This window comes from Homo sapiens, chromosome X (assembly GCF_000001405.40).
Source record: "Homo sapiens chromosome X, GRCh38.p14 Primary Assembly".
NCBI lineage: Eukaryota > Metazoa > Chordata > Mammalia > Primates > Hominidae > Homo > Homo sapiens.
This window is the reverse complement of record NC_000023.11, coordinates 16765769-16784736: the sequence shown is the minus strand read 5'-3', so window position 1 is coordinate 16784736 and position 18968 is coordinate 16765769. Positions and strand designations below refer to the sequence as shown.

The 18968-nt window shown below is 45.2% G+C and overlaps 1 pseudogene, besides 2 other annotated features; it reads right to left on the bottom strand.

Annotated features, from left to right (window-relative positions):
• Positions 12208-12733: an enhancer, noted in NCBI's record as "OCT4-NANOG-H3K27ac-H3K4me1 hESC enhancer chrX:16790127-16790652 (GRCh37/hg19 assembly coordinates)". NCBI's record gives its function as "activates a minimal SCP1, AML or CMV promoter by ChIP-STARR-seq in naive and primed H9 embryonic stem cells {active_cell/tissue: H9 hESC(naive and primed)}" and the evidence as "EXISTENCE:reporter gene assay evidence [ECO:0000049][PMID:30033119]".
• Positions 12734-13259: an enhancer, noted in NCBI's record as "OCT4-NANOG-H3K27ac-H3K4me1 hESC enhancer chrX:16789601-16790126 (GRCh37/hg19 assembly coordinates)". NCBI's record gives its function as "activates a minimal SCP1, AML or CMV promoter by ChIP-STARR-seq in naive and primed H9 embryonic stem cells {active_cell/tissue: H9 hESC(naive and primed)}" and the evidence as "EXISTENCE:reporter gene assay evidence [ECO:0000049][PMID:30033119]".
• Positions 16834-16892, bottom strand: RNU7-56P (RNA, U7 small nuclear 56 pseudogene; annotated as a pseudogene).

Below are 18968 nucleotides of genomic sequence, written 5' to 3'. Positions count from 1 at the left end.
TATCTTTATTAAGGAAAGAGGCCGGCCACGGTGGCTCACGCCTGTAACCCCGGCACTTTGGGAGGCCGAGGCGGGCGGATCACCTGAGGTCAGAAGTTCAAGACCAGCCTGACCAACGTGGTGAAACCCGGTCTGTGCTAAAAATAGAATTAGCCAGGCGTGGTGACACGTGCCTGCAATCCCAGCTACTAGGGAGGCTGAGGCAGGAGAATCGCTTGAACCCGGGAGGCGGAGGTTGCAGTAAGCCGGGATCACGCCATTGCACTCTAGCCTGGGCAACAAGAGCGAGACTCCGTCTCAAAAAATAAAAAGAAAAGAAAAGAACTATGCCATTAACCCCAAGCCTTCAGAGAAATGAAAAATATTTAATTGAATTAAATGCATATCTTTTTTTTTTTTTTTTTTTTTGAGACAGAGTTTTGCTCTTGTTGCCCAAGCTGGAGTGCAGTGGCCAATCTCGGCTCACTGCAACCTCTGCCTCCCGGGTTCAAGTGATTCTCCTGCCTCAGCCTCCCAAGTAGCTGGGATTACAGGCGCGCCCCACCACGCCCAGCTAATTTTTCTATTTTTAGTAGAGAGGGGGTTTCACCACGTTCGCCAGAATGGTCTTCATCTCTTGACCTTGTGATCCGTCCACCTCGGCCTCCCAAAGTGCTGGGATTACAGGCCTGAGCCACCGTGCCTGGCCTCTTTTTTTTTTTTTTTTTAATGCAGAGTCTTGCTCTGTCGCCCAGGCTGGAGTGCAGTGGCATGATCTCAGCCCACTGCAATCTGCACCTCCCAGGTTCAAGGAATTCTCGTGTCTCAGCCTCCCTAGTAGCTGGGATTACTGGCGTGCACCACCACACCCGGCTAATTTTTGCATTTTTAGTAGAGATGGGGTTTCGCCATGTTGGCCAGGCTGCTCTCAAACTCCTGGCCACAAGTGCTCTGCCCGACTCGTCCTCTGCCCAACTCGTCCTCCCAAAGTGCTGGGATTACGGGCTTGAGCCGCAATGCCTGGCCTATCCTTTCTTTATGTCCAAGACTTTAAGGGTCATCCAATGTTCTGTTTACATTGATCTCACCTTTGCGCCAGGACTATTGTCTTTTAACTGTGCCTGCAGGCGTGGCTCACACCTGTAATCTCAGCAGTTTAGGAGGCTGAGGCAAGAGCATCGCCTGAGCCCCGGAGTTTGAAACCAGCGTAGGCGACAAAGCGAGACCTCGTCTCTAAATAAATAAAGTTATCAAATAAAAAAGCCGGGCGCTGTGGCTCACGCCTGTAATCCCAGTACTTTGGGAGGCAGAGGAGGGCGGATCACCTGAGGTCAGGGGTTTGAAACCAGCCTGACCAACATGGTGAAACCTCGTCTCTTCTAAAAATACAAAAAAAAAAAAAAAAAATCAGCTGGGCATGGTGGCGTGTGCCTGTAGTCCCAGCTACTCGGGGAGGCTGAGGCAGGAAAATCGTTTGAACCCAGGAGGCAGAGGTTGCAGTGAGCCGAGTTCATGCCACTGCACTCCAGCCTGGGTGACAGAGGGAAACTCTATCTCAAAAAAAAAAAAAAAACAAACACTGTGCCTGCTAGAAGGGTAAAGGCCACCAGAACAATAGCTCCTCATTGGGTACGGGGTGTTCTCTCCAGGCTCCCTAAGGAATGTGAATATAACCTGAATATGGCTCCATTTATTCAGATGTTTATTAAAGTCTTGAGCAAGCAGGCATCAAACAATTCATGTGAACAGTAAGCTCAATGAGGTCCCAACTCTTTGACCTTTGAGATGCTCTGACCACCGTTGTGATGAAATGTAGAGCTCTCAAGGTGGACTCACCACTATTACAGAGGCAGGATTCTGTTGGCCTTATAGCCGATATCAGGAAACTGCAACCCTCAGAGTTTATAGCTGGACACAGGACGGTTTAGAGGTTTAGCCTAGAGTATTATCCTGAAGGAAACAAGCTTCGGACTTGCTAGATTCTTTTTTTTTTTCTTATTAATTGTCTGTATGACAAAGATTTTTTTTTTAAGAAAGATTCTTATACTCTTTTAACGCAAAAGTGAGTAGAGTCTCACATATTTTAAACAATGCATATATCTTGAATATCCCTGATTTCACTAATGTGAGCCCATTCTAATGCTGTTATTTTTATTTTTATTATTTATTTTTGGTGACAGGGTCTCACTCTGTCACCCAGGCTGGATTTCAGTGGTGCCATCACGGCTCACTGCAGCCGCCACCTGCTGGGCTCAGGTGTTCCTCCTGCCTCAGCCTCCCAAGTAGCTGGGACCACAGGTGTGTACCACTACACCTGGCTAATTAAATATATATATATATATATATATATATATATATATATATATATTTGTAGAAATGGTAGGAGGGTGTCTCCCTATGTTGCCCAGGCTGGTCTCAAACTCGTAGGCTCAAGAGATCCTCCCGCTTTGGCCTTGTAAAGTGTTGGGATTACAGGTGTGAGCCACCATGCCCAGCCTCTAATGCCTGTTATACTAGCTAAAGCTAATAAGCTACTAATTTCACCTACGAAAACCCATTTCTGGCCAGGCACGGTGGCTCACACCTGTAACCCCACCACTTTGGAAGACTAAGGTGGGTGTATCGCTTGACTCCAGGAGTTCAAGACCAACCTGGGCAATATGGCAAAACCCCATCTCTGCAAAAAATACCAAAAAATTAGCTGGGTGTGGTGGTGCACACCTGTAGTCCCAGTTATTTGGGAGGCTGAGGCAGGAGGATCACCTGAGCCTGGGAGGTGGAGGTTGCAGGGAGCCAAGATTGTGCCACTGCACTCCAGCCTGGGCAACAAGAGCGAGACCCTGTCTAAAAAAAGAAAAAAGAAAACTCGTTTCTTTCTTCTTTTTTTTAGACAGAGTTTCGCTCTTGTTGCCCAGGCTGGAGTGCAATGGCGCGATCTCGGCTCACTGCAATCTCAGCCTTCTGGGTTCAAGCCATTCTCTTGCCTCAGCCTCCCAAGTAGCTGGAATCACAGGCATGTGCCACCACGCCCAGCTAATTTTGTATTTTTAGTAAAGACGAGGTTTCTCCACCTTGGTCAGGCTGGTCTCGAACTCCTGACCTCAGGTGATCCGCCCGCCTCAACTTCCAAAGTGCTGGGATTACAGGCATGAGCCACTGCGCCTGGCAAGAAAACCCATTTCTAACCTTCATTTTGCTACTTAAGAAAGCCTCTGTTATTGGTTGAGCTATGGCTAACAGAAGCATCTGTAGTGGCTAGAATAGGAAATATGGACTCCTGACCACCCCTGGTGTATAAAGTCCTAAGTGGGGTCATTTCCAGCTCTAAACACAACACACTCCTCCTCCACCTCTTCCTTCTCTATCTTTGCTGACAGTAAATTACAGGCCTCATCATACCCTATAATATGATCACAGATATTAACATAGCTAAAGAAGCAATGTGGGGCTGGGCACGGTAGCTCATGCCTGTAATCCTAGCACTTTGGGAGGCCGAGGCGGGTGGATCACCTGAGGTCGGGAGTTCGAGACCAGCCCGACCAACATGGAGAAACTCTGTCTCTACTAAAAATACAAAATTAGCTGGGCGTGGTGGCTACTAATCCCAGCTACTTGGGACGCTGAGGCAAAAGAATTGCTTGAACCCCGGAGGCGGAGGCTGCAGTGAGCCGAGATCGGGCCACTGCACTCCACCCTGGGTGACAGAGCAAAACTCCGTCTCGGGAAAAAAAAAAAAAAAGAAGCAATGTGGCTATGAGAAGAGAGGAAACCTAGAAACTTAGGGAGAGAGTAAGGAAGGCCAGGCTGCCAAAGCCCATCTAAGCAATTTTTGGAAGACAAAGAATCTTGGTCAAAAAGAGGACTTCAAAAATGATCATCCTATTTGTAAGGCTATCCTTTACGTGGGGATGGAGGCTCCAGTTATCCTAACACCTTTGATCAATGGGAATTGATTTGATTTCTTACCTAACCACCTTCCCATTGTAATTGTGCTTCCTACAATTGGAAGCAGGTCTGTGGTCTGACCACAGGGAGAGAATGTAGATGTGTACCTTTTAACTCCATGAGACACTTACATTTGCTCATTGTTAACAAAGGGACATTTTGACTTTATTATTATTTTATTTACTTATTTATTTATTTTTTGAGACAGAGTTTCACTCTCGTTGCCCAGGCTACAGTGCAATGGCACAATCTCGGCTCGCTCCAATCTCCGTCTCCCGGGTTCAAGCGATTCTCCTGTCTCAGCCTCCCAAGTAGCTGGAATTACAGGCACCCACCACCACACCTAGCCAATTTTTGTATTTTTAGTAGAGATGGGGTTTCACCATGTTGGGCAGGCTGGTCTCGAATTCATAACATTAGGTAATCCATCCACCTCAGCCTCCCAAAGTGCTGATTTACAGGCATGAGCCACCACACCTGGCCATTATTATTTTTGAGACGGGGTCTCACTCTGTTGACCAGGCTGGAGTACAGTGACACGACCTTGGCTCACTGCAACCTCCACCTCCCAGGCTCAAGCGATCCTCTCATCTCAGCTTCCCAAGTAGCTGGGACTACAGGAGTGCACCACCATGCCTGGCTAATTTTTTGTATTTTTGGTAGAGATGGGGTTTCACCATGTTGCCTAGGCTGGTCTCAAACTCCTGAGCTCAAGCAATCCACCCACCTCGGCCTCCCAAAGTGCTGTGATTACAGGCATATTCGACTTTATATAGCAGCTCTGGTTAATGTGTACCTATTCCCTGACAGAGAGTGTACTCTGGGTGATCCCTCCAGGAAGCCCCACTGGTCCCAGGATATCTTAGTTGCCTGTGTTATGTACCCCTAGCATACTGTACTTCCCATACCAGGCCAGTCCCCACTCTTCAAGGCAGTGGTTTGTCTAATTGACTCTTTCCCCCAGCCAGATGGTAAACAAAGTGAGGGCAAGGACTGTGCCCATAAGACTCCTATATTCCCAGTGCCCAGCAGAATGCCAGGCACAGTCTGCACACGGTGGTTCACGCCTGTAATCCCAGCAATTTGGGAGGCCGAGGCAGACAGATCGCTTGAGGTAAGGAGTTCAAGACCAGCCTGGCCAGCATGTTGACACCCGCCTCTATCAAAAATACAAAAATTAGCCAGGCATAGTGGTGGGCGCCTGTAATCCCAGCTACTACGGAGGCTGAAGCAAGAGAATTGCTTGAACCCTGAAGGTGGAGGTTGCAGTGAGCCGAGATCGCACCACTGCACTCCAGCCTGGGCGACAGAGCAAGACTCCACCAAAAAAAAAACAAAACAAAAAAACCCAGGCACAGAGAAAGCTCTCCACACATACTTATTGAGAAAAAGATCCCCTGAATAGGTAACTGCATTAAGAAATCTGTTTTCTGAATCTGTTCAGATGAGGACCAAACCTTCAATTCCCCAAGGTGATATCCTATCCCTTCTTGTGACATCTTGGAGAGTTTTCTGACAGCAGTGTCCCTCTGCAACACTGTGTAGACCCTCCAGCAGCCAAGGGACCAAGGTCATTCCAGGATAAACTTGGTGGCAATAGAAAGTTTTCATTCATCAGTTAAACAGGAGCACTGTATTAGTCACCAGGCATACCTTGATTTAGAATAAGGGGTACCCAGGCCAACACTGAACACTCACATGTACAACAAACAATAAAGTAATTTATAAAATGGAGGTATTGCAGGGTAACCTCTTGAGGGTTATTTTCTACTGGTGGTGGGGAGGTTTAAGGATGGTTTAAGGTGACATCTGAGCTGTGTCTAAAGGGTCAACAGAAGTTAAATTAGCCACACTAGTCTGACTTGTCCACCTCAGAGTACTTTCACAGAAAGAAAAGCTCCTACTAACTTTTAAATCAGCCAAGAGTATTGTTTCATCAAAAGAGTTGAATTTCATGTTTGTTGCATACTATTGGGGTTGTAGGTAGTGAAAAAGAGTGTTTGCCTCTTCATAGAACAAAAAGCTTATTGTTTAATATGATTACACAATACCATCTTTCTGAGCTAACCCTGATTTTAGTCCTTGTAGGAATTTGGCCAGTTTCTGCATTTGCTATAGATGTCCACATTTCTGGCAGACACTGAAAGATTTAGAAAATGATTATACTTTATACACAGATCACTCAGGCATACTGATGGCAGGCTATGGAGTGTACTATTAGATTGGCACACACCAGGGTGCCAGCTCTAGCAGAAAGAGGATTTTTAAAATAAAAACTCTTCTCATGTATGGACTATTGGGAGAGAGTATGTGCGTTTCAAAAATTCGAATACGTATATTGCATATTTCAGAGTATTGGGATTCATTCATTTTGTTTTGATATACTTCCCCAAGTCTCGCCTATAATTATAGACTTCAAGGACATGGAAACAATGTTCATGTATAGAGACAATGGAAAAGAAAAATACAAACTACAAATAGGTTTAGGCTTTATTGAAAATCTCGGGGCCAGGAGTGGTAGCACATGTCTGTAATCCCAGCACTTTGGGAGTTCGAGGCAGGGGGATTGCTTGAGGCCAGGAGTTCAAGACCAGCCTGGGCAACATAGGGAGACCCCATCTCTACAAAAAATAAAAAATTAGCCTTAGCCAAGTGTGGTGGTGCACACCTGTAGTCACAGCTACTTGGGAGGCTGAGGCAGGAGGATCGTTTGAGCCTAGGAGGTTGAGGCTGCAGTGAGCTGTGATCATGCCAGTGCATTCCAGCCTGGGTGACAGAGTGAGACCCTGTCTCAAAACAAAACAATTTTTTTTTTTGAGACAGAGTCTCGCTCTGTCACCTAGGCTAGAATGCAAAGTGAGACCCTGTCTCAAAACAATTAAAACAATTTTTTGTTTTGACAAACTGAGACCCTGTCTCAAAACAATTAAAACAATTTTTTTTTTTGAGGCGGAGTCTTGCTCTGTCACCCAGGCTAGAGTGCAGTTGGCACGCTCTCGGCTCAATGCAACCTCCGCCTCCCGGGTTCAAGTGATTCTCCTGCCTCAGCCTCCTGAGTAGCTGGGATTACAGGTGCAAGCCACCACGCCCAGCTAATTTTTGTATTTTGTGATCCCAAAGTGCTGGGATCACAGGTGTGAGCCACTGCGCCCAGCCGAACAATTTTTTCAAGTTTTTTTTTTTGTTTCATTTTGTTTTAAGAAACAGAATCTCTTTCTCTGTGTTACCCTGGCTGGAGTATAGTGGTTTTCATCCTAGCCCACTACAGCGTCAAATTGGGCGACAGAGTAAGACCTTGTCTCAAAAAAAAAAAAAAAAAAAGAGAGAAAAGAAAAGGGCTGGGCTCGGTGGTTCACGCCTGTAATCCCAGCACTTTGGGAGGCCAAGGCAGGTGGATCACCTGAGGTCAGTAGTTCGAGACCAGCCTGGCCAACATGGTGAAATCTCATCTCTACTAAAAAGAAAACACAAAAATTAGGCCAGGCACGGTGGTTCATGCCTGTAATCCCAGCACTTTGGGAGGCCAAGGTGGGCAGATCACTTGAGGTTGGGAGTTCACGACCAGGCTGACCAACATGGAGAAACCCCGTTTCTACTAAAAAATACAAAATTAGCCAGTCGTGGTGGCGCATGCCTGTAATCCCAGCTACTTGGGCCGCTGAGGCAGGAGAATTGCTTGAACCCGGGAGGCGGAGATTGCGGTCAGCTGAGATCGCACCATTGCACTCCAACCTGGGCAATAAGAGTGAAACTCCATCTTAAAAAAAAAAAAAATTAACTGGATGTAGGGGCGCGTGCCTGTAATCCCAGCTACTTGGGAGGCTGAGGCAGGGGAATTGCTTGAACCTGGGAGGTGGAGGTTGCAGTGAACTGAGATCGCACCACCGACAGAGCAAGAATCCGTCTCAAGAAAAAGAAAAAAGAGAAGAGAAGAGAAGAAAAGAGAAGAGAAAAGAAAGGGGAACCATCCTGGCCAACCTGGTGAAACCCCGTCTCTACTAAAAATACAAAAAATTAGCCAGGCATAGTGGTGGAAGCCTGTAATCTCAGCTACTCGGGAGGCTGAGGCAGTAGAATCCCTTGAACCCAGGAGGCAGAGGTTGCAGTGAGCTGAGATTGTGCCACTGCACTCTATCCTGGGCGACAGAGTGAGACTCAAAAAAAAAAAAAAAAAAGAAAAAAGAAAGAAAAAAGAAAAAGAAAGAAATCAGCATCCAGTTTAAACCACTGTAATTCTGGATTTTTCTGTCACTTGCCATCAAGCTGATTCTGAAATCACAGAAAGATATATATAGATTTGCTTCTAGGGAAGAGGGTCTATGCTTTTTCACTCACAGTCACACACACACACACACACACACACACACACACACACACAGATGCTCACTTCCTCCCATCATCACATCATCCTCTCTAAATGGTTGTTTTCATTTTGTTAATTTAATATCTTAATTTTTTTTACATTATTTTCATGTAGATATTATTCACAACCTAGTTGTATAGTATCCTATTAATAATTTCTTTTTTATGTTTCTTTTTTCTTTTTTTAAAATTGAGATAGGGTCTTGCTCTGTTGCCCAGGCTGGTCTCAAACTCCTGGACTCAAGTGATCCTCCCACCTCAGTGGGAGCCACGGTGCCCTGCTCCATGTTTCTTATCTTTTCTCTTCTATTTTCCTATATCCTGTTTTGCTACAGACAGTTCCAGGGTTACAATTTTTGATGTTGCGATGGTGCCAAAGTTGTATGAATTTGACTTTGAGTACCCATACAACCATTCTGTTTTTCACTTTCAGTACAAGTATTCAATAAAGCACATGAGATATTCAACACTTTATTATAAAACAGCTTTGTGTTTGATGATTTTGACCAACTGTAGGCTAATATAAGTATTATGAGCTTGGCCAGGAGTAGTGGCTTACGCCTGTAATCCCAGTACTTTGGGAGGCCGAGGTGGGCAGATCACCTGAGGTCAGGAGTTCGAGACACACCTGGCTAACATGGTGAAACCCCATCTCTACTAAAATACAAAAATTAGCCGGGCGTGGTGGCTGGCGCCTGTAATCCCAGCTACTTGGGAGGCTGAGGCACGCGAATCACTTGAACCTGGGAGGCAGAGGTTGCAGTGAGCCGAGATCGTCTCACTGCACTCCAGCCCGGGCAATAGAGCAAGACTCCGTCTCAAAAAAACAAAGTATTATGAGCTTACATTAAGGTAGGCTAGGCTAAGTTATGATGTTTGGTAGGTTAAGTGTATTTTTTTTTTTTCCGAGATGGAGTCTTGCTCTGTCTTGCCCAAGCTGGAGTGCAGTGTCACCATCTTGGCTCACTGTGGCCTCCACCTCCCAGGTTCAAGCAATTCTTCTATCTCAGCCTCCCGAGTAGCTGAGACTACAGGCATGTGCCACTACACCTGGCTAATTTTGTATTTTTAGTAGAGAAGGGGTTTCACCATGTTGGCCAGGCTGGTCTCGAACTCCTGACCTCAGGTGATCCACCCGCCTTGGCCTCTCAAAGTGCTGGGGTTACAGGCATGAGCCACCACGCCCGGCCAGGTTAAGTGTATTAAATGCATTTTCCACTTATGATATTTTCAACTTCTGATGGGTTTATTGGAACATAACGCCATCATAAGTCAGGAAACATCTGTACTTTGTAGATGATCTCAACTTTGTCTTCTAATACTACTAATGAAGTTTTGATCAATGTCATATTTTATTTACTTTTTATTTAATTATTAATTTGTGAGACAAGTCTTGCTCTGTCACCAAGGCTGGAGTGCAGTGGTGTGATCATAGCTCACTGCAGCCTCTACCTCCAGGGCTCAAGTTGAGGCAGGAAAATAGGATCTGGAGGTAGGGAATATAAGGCCGATTCACACTTCAGCTATGACAGGAAATAGCCTCTCCATAGGGCGTAGGCCAAGTAAATGATTGTAACTTTACTTTATCCTCTTCATTTACATAGGGCATACCTCAAGTAGAGGTTATTTTTAAACTCCCAAAAATTCTGAAACAGGGCCTTTGAGCTATGCTTGGGCCTGCTCAAACCCTGTGGAGTGTACTTTCATTTTCAATAAATCCCTTCATTCCTTCCTTGCTTTGTGCGTTTTGTCTAATTCTTTGCTCAAGACGCCAAGAACCTGGACACTCTTCCCGGGTAGCAAAGTGATCCTCCCACCTCAGCCTCCCAAATAGCTGGGACTAGAGGCATGCACCACCATGCCTGGCTAATTTTTATTTATTTATTTCATTTTATTGGTAGAGACTTGGTGTTACTATGTTGCCCAGGCTGGTCTTGAACTCCTGGGCTCAAAGGATCCTCCCTCCTTGGCCTTCCAAAGTGCTGGGATTGGTGTGAGCCACTGCCCCCAGTCTGCAGGACAATTCTTTTTTTTTTTTTTTTTGAGACAGAGTTTCACTCTTGTTGCTCAGGCTGGAGTGCAATGGCCCCATCTTGGCTCACTGCAACCTCTGCCTCCTGGGGTCAAGCAATTCTCCTGCCTCAGCCTCCCAAGTAGTTGGGATTACAGGCATGCACCACCACCACGCTTGGCTAATTTTGTATTCTTAGTAGAGACGGGGTTTCACCATGTTGTTCAGGCTGGTCTTGAACTCCTGACATCAGGTGATCCTCCTGCCTTGGCATCCCAAAGTGCTGGGATTACAGGCGTGAGCCACCACGCCAGGCTGACAATTCTTGAAGAGTAAATAGCTTTTCCCATCAAAAGGAATCAAGATTCCTTGAAGAAATGCCTGCTTCCAGGTCTGAGGAAAGGAAATGTAAATTATTACCGATTTTTCTTATTTTTCCTACTATGTTAAGCACAGAAATTCCCAAAAACATAACCACAAATAGTTAAAAAAATATATAAAAAAAAGATGGCCAAGTGCGGGTGGCTCACGTCTGTACTCCCAGCACTTTGGGAGGCCAAGGCGGGCGGATCACCTGAGGTCGGGAGTTCGAGACCAGCCTGACCAACATGGAGAAACCCCGTCTCTACTAAAAATACAAAATTGGCCCGGTGTGGTGGCACATGCCTGTAATCTCAGCTACTTGGGAGGCTGAGGCAGGAGAATCGCTTGAACCCGGGAGGCGGAGGTTGCGGAGAGCCGAGATCACGCCATTGCACTCCAACCTGGGCAACAAGAGCGAAACTCCGTCTCAAAAAAAAAAAAAAAAAAAGATATAGCCGCCATTTTGGTGTAAGCCTCCCGAGTCTTTTCTATGCATATGAGGCAGGAGAATAGGGTCCGGAGGCAGGGAACCTAAGGCCGATTCAAGCTGGCTTTCTAGAACTAAGTCAATGGCCGGGCGCGGTGGCTCACGCCTGTAATCCCAGCACTTTGGGAGGCCGAGGCAGGCAGATCACCTGAGGTCGGGAGTTTGAGACCAGCCTGACCAATATGGAGAAACCCTGTCTCTACTAAAAATACAAAATTAGCCGGGCATGGTGGCGCATACCTGTAATCCCAGCTACTCAGGAGGCTGAGGCAGGAGAAGCGCTTGAACCCGGGAGGCGGAGGTTGCGGTGAGCCGAGATCGTGCCATTGCACTCCAGCCTGGGCAATAAGAGTGAAGTCCGTCTCAAAAAAAAAAAAAAAAAAAACTAAGTCAAAAGGAACATCCCAACTTTCCACAGGTAAATAACAAAAGGATTGTAAACTACTCCCTTTGCAAATCCACCCCACCCCCACCCCACCTTTCTGTGCGGCAGATGGAAAATTGAAAGCATTTCTGATTGGTTGCCTTCTTTTCTTTCTTTCTTTTTTTTTTTTTTTTTTTTTTAGGGGGGTGGGGAAGTTGTCTACCTCTGTGGCCCAGGCTGGAGTGCAGTGGCACGATCTTGGCTCACTGCAATCTCTGCCTCCCAGGTTCAGGCGATTTTTGTGCCTCAGCCTCTCAAGTAGCTGGAATTACAGGCACGTGCCACCACGCCCAGCTAAATTTTTTATTTTTAGTAGAGATAATTCCTCATGTTGGCCAGACTGGTCTCAAACTCCTGACCTCAGGTGATCCACCCGCCTTGGCCTCCCAAAGTGCCGGGGTTCCAGGCGTGAACCACCACGCCCAGCCTGATTGGTTGCTTTCTGTAGCCAATCAGACGTTTGCATAGGAGTGAGTGTAACTTTGTAACTACACTTCATCCTCTGATTGGTTGCTTTCCACAACCAAACAGACTGATTGCAGGCCGCTATTTCATTTACATAGGGTGTACACCATGTAACCAATGGGAAACCCCTAGAGGGTATTTAAATTCCAGAAAATTCTGGGGCTCTTGAGCCCCTGTACTAGGCCTGCTCCAGCCTTGTGGAATGTACTTTTGTTTTCAGTAAATCTCTGCTTTTGTTGCTTCATTCTTTCCTTGCTTTGTGCGTTTTGTCCAATTCTTTGTTCAAAACGCCAAGAACGTGGACACCCTCCACCGGTAACACAAAAGCATGCCCAACACACACATACACGGGCATTTTTGGAAGAAAAAGTGTAATCGTATTAAATATTTTTGTAAATTGCCTTTTATATTTCATTTAACATTATATTGTGAACCTTCTCTTATGTCAAATGTAGCGCTTGGACGTCATTTTTGAAAGCATTCAAGAAATCCTTTATCCAAAAGAAATCACAGTCAGGGCATCGGTGAACAAAACAAATTGGTTGAGTTTCCCGGGTGGACTCTGGACTGGGCCTTTTCCCTACCTTGCAGGCTGCAGCCATGCTTGGGAGCTACGGCATTAATCTATAGGGCAATGACTCAGCTTCATTTGCATAACCATGGTGCACTGCATGCAATATATTTACAAGTTAAAAGCCGTAGGTGTCCTTTAAACCTGCTGTTTTGAAGAATGATACTTTTCCTTACACATTCGCCTGAAAGAAGTGCTGTATGTATTTGAGCTGGGCTTAATTTCACCCTCAGTGTACCAGAGGTGGCTGTTACCTGGCAACTGCCTTTCCAAGCTTGCTGTTGTTTTTTCTTGTTTTTAGATTAATAGAGTTAGTCGTTTTTTTTTTTTTTTTAATTCTGTTACTATTTTATGAGACAGGATCTTGTTCTGCTACCTACACTGCATTGTAGTGGTACAAATATGGCTCGCTGTAGCCTCGGCCTCCTGGGCTTAGACCACCCTCTTGCCACAATGGTAAATGCCCAGCTAGTTTTTTATTTTTACATTTTAATTATTTGTTTTTTTTTATTTGTTTTTTTTTGAGACAGCGTCTCACTTTGTTGGTCAGGCTGGTCTCAAATTCCTCGGCTCAAGTGATCCTCCCACAGCGGGGATACAAGCATGAGCCACTGTGCCTGGCTTTCCCTTTTATTAAAGATTTAAGCAAAAATAAAACTAAGTAGAGTTTGTTGGGGGTTTTTTGTTTGTTTTTTGAGACAGTCTTTGTTGGGTTTTTGTTTGTTTGTTTGTTTTTTAAGACAGTTGCCCAGTCGCCCAGGCTGGAGTACAGTGGTGCAATCACAGCTCACTGCAACCTTGACCTCCCAGGCTCAAGTGATCCTCCCATCTCAGCCTCCCGAGTAGCTAGGACTACAAGTGCATGCCACCATACCTGGTGAATTTTTTGTATTTTTATTAGAGATGGGGTCTCACTATGTTGCTCAGGCTGGTATAGAACTCCTGGGCTCAAGGGATCTGCTAGCCTTGGCCTCCCAAGGTGCTGGGATTATAGGCATGAGCCACCAGGCCCAGTGAGTAGAGTTTTAACTGGGTGTTTTATTGAGGTGTGTAATGTTGGGACCTGTCTTCTCCTTGTTTTATGTAGCTGTAGTTTCTTGATTTCTCTTATGCTATGTAATATCTGACTTTTATGGTAGCTGTTTCTTTTAGTTCTACTACATATGTAGTATAGTTGTACCTGTATTTGGAGTTTACGTAGGTCTTCTCTCCAATCTTGCATTTTCTGTTTAACATTACATTTATGAGATTCATAGATTCACTCACAGCACTGTGCACAGCTGTTATTTTTTCGTGTTCTTGGCTCTTTGCTATGGTTATCACACTGTCATTATAATTCCATTCTACTGTTGATGCACATTTGGGTTGGGTGCAGCCTGAGGTCACTAGAACATCACTTTTATTGACAGTCGTGCATGTGCCACCTACTAGCACATGCCATATGATGTTTTTATCTTCCACTTTACTAAGTAATGGTAGTTATTTTCATAAGTGGTTAATACCATTTGGTATTCCCTAGGAGAGGAACTGCTTGCTGGGCAAAGAGAAGTACATATTCAACTTTTCATTGAAGTAATGCCAGTTTTGGCTTACTTCCAAAGAGATTGTGCCAGTGCATAGTTGCGCCAATAGCACGTCGATGTTCCTGTTGTTTCACATGCTTACTAACTCTTGATATTTTCAGACTTCTACTTTTTTTTTTTTTTTTTTTTTGAGATAGGGTCTACTCTGTCACCCAGGTTGGAGTGCAGTGGCACGATCTCGGCTTACTGCAACCTTTGCCTCCCAGGTTCAAGTGGTTCTCCCACCACAGTCTCCCAAGCAGCTGGGACTACAGGCGCGCACCACCATGCCCAGCTAATTTTTGTATTTTCGTAGAGATGGGGTTTCATCATGTTGCCCAGGCTGGTCTTCAACTCCTGAGCTCAGGCAATCTGCCCACCTCAGCCTCCCAAAGTCTTAGGATTACAGGCGTGAGCCACTGCACCCAGCCTTCAGACTTCTACATTTTTGACCATCTGGTGGGTATAAAATATATCACTTAAAATATTTGCACACAATTCCATCATGTGGATGAACCACCATTTGTTCAAATCAAGATTCTGGTGTATGACATATAGGTACCTGCCAATTTTTCTATTGTATACTCAAAGTCTTGCTTGTCTAATTGCTTCCTTAGCATAAATTCCAAGAGTAGAAATGTCGGGTTAAATGTTCCTCACATTTAACATTTTGATGCTTGTTACCCGACTGCCATTTGGAAAGATTTAACAATTTTACACTCCCATCTACAGTATTTTTATGCTTTTTCCCCATACCCGTGTCAAAATTAGGTATTAAAAGAAATCTACAAAAATTAGCTGGGCATGGTGGCAGGTGCCTGTAATCCCAGCTACTCGAGAGGCTGAGGCAGGAGAATAGCTTGAACCCTGGAGGCGGAGGTTGCAGTGAGCCGAGATCGCACCACTGCACTCCAGCCTGGGCGACAGAGCAAGACTCCGTTTCAAAAAAAAAAAAAAAAAAAAGATGCATGTCCTTAATTTTAGAAGTCAAATTACACAAGGCTTTTAAAACAACAGAGACCCTTGACCAGTGCTTCTCTCTTTGTAACTACCCAATGGGTTCATTTTGCCCACTGCCCAGATGGAGCCGATTTATCAAAACAAGGGAATTGCAATAGAGTTTAATACACACAGAGCTGGCTGAACAGGAGACCGGAGTTTTATTATTACTGTGAATAGAAAATATCTTGGGCCCCCAAAATCACTAAGCTAAAGGGAAAATTCAAGCTGGGAACTGCTCAGGGCAAACTTGCCTCCCATTCTATTCAAAGCCATCCCTCTGCTCACTGAGATAAATGCATATCTGATTGCCTCCTTTGGAAAAGCTAATCAGAAACTCAATGCAACGGTTTGTCTCTCATCTACCTGTGACCTGAAAGCCCTCTCCCCTTTCGAGTTGTGCGCTTTTGCTTCCAGTTGTCCCGCCTTTCCGGACCACACCAATGTTCATCTTACATATGTTGATTGGTGTCTCATGTCTCCCTAAAATGTATGAAACCAAGCTGTGCTCTGACCACGTTGGGCACATGTTGTCAGGACCTCATGAGGCTGTGTCACAGGCACACATCCTCGACCTTGGCAAAATAAAGTTTCTAAATTAACTGAGGCCTGTCTCAGATTTTTGGGTTTCACATTCCTGAAATCAGTCTCCCTGAAGATTTGGAAACTGAGGTTTTTAAAGGATAATTTGGTGGGTATGGGGCTAAGGAGTGGGGAGTGCTGATTGGTCGGGTCAGAGATGAAATCCTAGGAGGTCAGTCGAAGCTGTGCTCTAGCAATGAGTCGGTTCCTGGGTGGGGGCCACAACACCAGATGAGCCAGTTTATTGATCTGGGTGGCACCAGCTAATCCATGGACTGAAAAATATCTTCAGCACCTAATCTTAGGTTTTATGGTAGTGGGTAGTGATGTTATCCCTAGGAGCAATTGAGGAGGTTTAGAATCTTGTGGCCTCTAGCTGCAAGACTCCAGAACCATAATTTCTTTATTTTTTTATTTTTTATTTTTATTTATTTATTTATTTTGAGACAGAGTTTCGCTCTTGTTGCCCAGGCTGGAGTGCAGTGGCACGACCTTGGCTCGCTGCAACCTCTGCCTCCCAGGTTCAAGCGATTCTCCTGCCTCAGCCTCCTGAGTAGTTGGGATTACAGACACCTGCCACCATGTCTGGCTAATTTTTGTATTTTTAGTAGAGACAGGGTTTCACCAAGTTGGCTGGGCTGGTCTTGAATTCCTGACCTCAGGTGATCTGCCTGCCTCAGCCTCCCAAAGTGCTGGGATTACAGGCATGAGCCACCGTGCCCGGGCTATTTTTCTTTTATTATTATTATTATTATTTTTACTTTCTTTTTCTTTTTTTTTTTGGACGGAGTCTCGCTCTGTCGCCCATGCTGGAGTGCAGTGGCGCGATCTTGGCTCACTGCAACCTCCGCCTCCTGGGTTCATGCCATTCTCCTGCCTCAGCCTCCCGAGTAGCTGGGATTATAGGCACCCGCCACCACGCCCGGCTAATTTTTTTTTTTTTGCATATTTAGTAGAGATGGGGTTTCACCGTGTAAGCCAGGATGGTCTCTATCTCCTGACCTCATGATCTGCCTGCCTCAGCCTCCCAAAGTGCTGGGATTACAGGCGTGAGCCACCGCACCCGGCTATTTTTACTTTCTTGGGCTTTCCAGTAAAGACCAGAAAACCTGCTAGATAAATTCTAAAACAGCTGTGACACTAAACCATAATATTGTGGCTCATGTGTTAGTCCTACAAAGGCAGTGTGGTTCCCATGCAAGAATGGGGTTTGTTTCAGGAAAGGGCTGTTACAATCTTTATGTCAAAGTTAAAGTTCTTCCCAAAGTTAGTTTGGCCTATGCCCAGGAATGAACACAGAAGCAAGATGGAGTCAGTTAGGTCAGATCTACACACTGCCATAACTTTGTCACTGTTACACTTTTTGCAAAGGCCATTTCACATCCCCAATTCCCACTTCTCAGGAGCCATTTAAAACTTAGCAATTTTGTCTGTTTGTGTCTGTGTCTCATAACAATATGCTTACGCCACTTGCCCTTGATTTTCAGTTGTAGATTGTGGCAGAGACCACAAATTGCCCACCCTGATACCAACTTTTCCTCAGCCTTCCGAGTTACTGCACCTCCAGAATTCCTGAGCATTTCCAGGCTTCTGAAGCATGAAAATGTTCTTGGTATCACTTGGCTGTTGCTGACCCTTCTGTTTTTGTCACTATGAATGTATAGCTTTTCTTTTCATTCCTTTACTGTCATTCAGTGGGGTTTGTGGATGGAGTGGAGATACATGCATATATTTATGTGAGAACCTAAGATATTGTACATTTCAGAAAACTAAAAAACAAAACCCCACTTTGAAAACAGAACTAAAACAGTATTTATTTTACAAAGGCCTCTTTAAAAATAGGATGACATTTTAGACATAGGTTGTTAAAAAACGTGCAGTCCAACCCTTTCATTGTACTGATAAAGAAGCTTGAGTGTGTCAGGCTGAGTATTTTCACCAAGTCTCCTGACTTTCCACTTGAGTCTCTTTCCCTGGGCCCCGTGGTTCTCAATCTTAGCTGCTGTTACAAAGTCTTGGAGAGTTTCAAACAACCCTGTACCCTCAAGGGCTACATCCCCAGCCAAATAAATCAGTATCTCTGCAGGGGAGCCTGGGCATCAGTAGCACCTGGACTTGCCAGGAGGTCCTATTGTGCGGCCACGCTTGAGGATGACTACCCGCTGCCAGGAGATTGACTGGTTTAGTCCATTTCTAAAAGCATGGTAATGTGGACATCAAGACATCCATCACAAGCTCATTATTATTTATTTATTTGTTTGTTTGAGACAGGGTCTGGCTCTGTCGCCCAGGCTGGAGTGCAGTGGCCTGATTGTGGCTCGCTGCAATCTCCTCCTCCTGGGCTCAAGCCATCCTCCCACCTCAGCCTCCCGAGTAGCGGGACTCCAGGTGCCCGCCACCACGCCTGGCTTTTTTTTTTTTTTTTAATTGAGAAAGGCTTTCACCCTGTTGCCCAGGCTGGTCTCAAACTCCTGGGTTCAAGTGATCCGCCCACCTTGGTATCCCAAAGTGTTTGGATTACAGGTGTGAGCCTCTGTGCCTGGCCTATTTTTATTAATTACATTTGTGTGTTATCCAGATTTTTTTTTTTTTTTGAGATGGAGTCTCACACTGTCACCCAGGCTGGAGTGTAATGGTGCGACCTCAGCTGTGACCTCTGCCTCCCGGGTTCACGTGATTCTCCTGCCTAAGCCTCCCGAGTAGCTGGGATTGCAGGTGCACACCACCACACCCGGCTAATTTTTGTATTTTTAGTAGAGATGGGGTTTCACTGTGTTAGCCAGACTGGTCTCAAACTCCTGACCTTGTGATCCACCCGCCTCCGCCTCCCAAAGTGCTGGGATTACAGGCGTGAGCCACCGCACCTGGCCCCAGATTTTAAATAGTATCTATTTTCATGCCTCAATTTCACAAGCATGTACTCTGTTACTCCAATTAACAATGAACACTCAACAATTTTGTTAGTGGCATCAATACAGTGTTCTTGTGCCACACTCCTTTGATAGTGGCATATTATTTAGCTCAGTTCTCACATGCCACTTATACCCTAAAGTAAATCTCCATGAAACAGTTTAAAATTGCTGAGTGACATGGTCATTTTGCTATATCAGGATTTTTTCATTGTCTAAGTGCAGTAATGGCAGAGAACATTATGCACTTTATTGCTATTATGCTGATTACAGTTGGACACTGGGTACTGTAGGAGTAGTCACTCAAAA